This window comes from Homo sapiens, chromosome 3, assembly GCF_000001405.40.
Source record: "Homo sapiens chromosome 3, GRCh38.p14 Primary Assembly".
Lineage (NCBI taxonomy): Eukaryota > Metazoa > Chordata > Mammalia > Primates > Hominidae > Homo > Homo sapiens.
Genome location: NC_000003.12, coordinates 181,925,639 through 181,927,472, shown reverse-complemented (window position 1 = coordinate 181,927,472; position 1,834 = coordinate 181,925,639). Strand labels below are relative to the sequence as shown.

At 54.7% G+C, this 1,834-nt stretch overlaps 2 annotated features.

The window, feature by feature from the left end:
• Positions 427 to 1,018: an enhancer, noted in NCBI's record as "H3K27ac-H3K4me1 hESC enhancer chr3:181644243-181644834 (GRCh37/hg19 assembly coordinates)". NCBI's record gives its function as "activates a minimal SCP1, AML or CMV promoter by ChIP-STARR-seq in primed H9 embryonic stem cells {active_cell/tissue: H9 hESC(primed)}" and the evidence as "EXISTENCE:reporter gene assay evidence [ECO:0000049][PMID:30033119]".
• Positions 1,019 to 1,612: an enhancer, noted in NCBI's record as "H3K27ac-H3K4me1 hESC enhancer chr3:181643649-181644242 (GRCh37/hg19 assembly coordinates)". NCBI's record gives its function as "activates a minimal SCP1, AML or CMV promoter by ChIP-STARR-seq in primed H9 embryonic stem cells {active_cell/tissue: H9 hESC(primed)}" and the evidence as "EXISTENCE:reporter gene assay evidence [ECO:0000049][PMID:30033119]".

Below are 1,834 nucleotides of genomic sequence, written 5' to 3'. Positions count from 1 at the left end.
TGCAATGAGCCAAGATTGTGCCATTGCACTCCAGCCTGGGCAACAAGAGTGAAACTCCATCTCAAAAAAATAAATAAATAAATAATAAAATAAAATAAATAAAAATAAAAAGTCAAAACAACAGATGCTGGCAAGGTTGTGGAGAAAAGGGAACTCTTAAACACCGTTGGTGGGAGTGTAAATTAGTTCAACCATCAAGGAAAGCAATGTGGCAATTCCTCAAAGAGCTAAAAGCAGAACAGTCATTTCACCCAGCAATCCCATTACTGGGTATACACCCATAAGAATATAAATCATTCTACCATAAAGACACAGGCACTTTCATGTTCACTGCAGCACTATTCACAATAGCAAAGACATGGAATCAATCTAAATGTTCACTAATGACAGATTGGATAAAGAAAATATGGTACGGCCGGGCACGGTGGCTCACGCCTATAATCCCAGCACTTTGGGAGGCTGAGGCAGGAGATTGAGACCATCCTGGCTAACACGGTGAAACCCCGTCTCTACTAAAAATACAAAACATAGCCGGGCGTGATGGCGGACACCTGCAGTCCCAGCTACTCGGGAGGCTGAGGCAGGAGAATGGCGTGAACCCAGGAGGCGCAGCTTGCAGTGGGGCGAGATCGCACCACCGCACTCCAGCCTGGGCAACGGATTGAGACTCCACCTCAAAAAAAAAAAAAAAAAGACAAAGAAAAAAAAGAAAATGTGGTACGTATACACCAGGGAATACTTTCAATCCATAAAAAAGAATGAGATCTCCCTCTCCCTCTCCCTCTCCCTCTCCCGTCTCCCGTCTCCCACTTTCCACGGTCTCCCTCTGATGCCCAGCCGAGGCTGGACTGTACTGCCGCCATCTCGGCTCACTGCAACCTCCCTGCCTGATTCTCCTGCCTCAGCCTGCCGAGTGCCTGGGATTGCAGGCGCGTGCCGCCACGCCTGACTGGTTTTTGTATTTTTTGGTGGAGACGGGGTTTCGACGTGTTGGCCGGGCTGGTCTCCAGCTCCTGAACGTGAGTGATCTGCCCGCCTGGGCCTCCCGAGGTGCCGGGATTGCAGACGGAATCTCGCTCACTCAGTGCTCAATCTTGCCCAGGCTGGAGTGCAGTGGCGTGATCTCGACTTGCTACAACCTCCACCTCCCAGCCGCCTGCCTTGGCCTCCCAAAGTGCGGAGATTGCAGCCTCTGCCCAGCCGCCACCCCGTCTGGGATGTGAGGAGCCCCTCTGCCCTGCCGCCCAGTCTGGGAAGTGAGGAGAGCCTCTTCCCGGCCGCCATCCCATCTAGGAAGTGAGGAGAGTCTCTGCCCGGCCGCCCGTCGTCTGAGATGTGGGGAGCGCCTCTGCCCCGACGCCCCGTCTGGGATGTGAGGAGCGCCTCTGCCCGGCCGCGACCCTGTCTGGAAGGTGAGGAGCGTCTCTGCCCGGCTGCCCCGTCTGAGAAGTGAGGAGCCCCTCCGCCCGGCAGCCGCCCCGTCTGGGAAGTGAGGAGCGTCTCCGCCCGGCAGCTGCCCCGTCCAGGAGGTGGGGGGCAGCCCCCGCCCGGCCAGCCGCCCCATTCGGGAGGTGGGGGGCGCCTCTGCCCGGCCGCCCCGTCTGGGAATTGAGGAGCCTCTCTGCCCAGCCACCACCCCGTCTGTGATGTGTACCCAACAGCTCATTGAGAATGGGCCATGATGACGATGGCGGTTTTGCCGAATAGAAAAGTGGGAAATGGGAAAAGAAAGAGAGATCAGATTGTTACTGTGTCTGTGTAGAAAGAAGTAGACATAGGAGACTCCATTTTGTTCTGTACTAAGAAAAATTCTTCTGCCTTGGGATACTGTTAA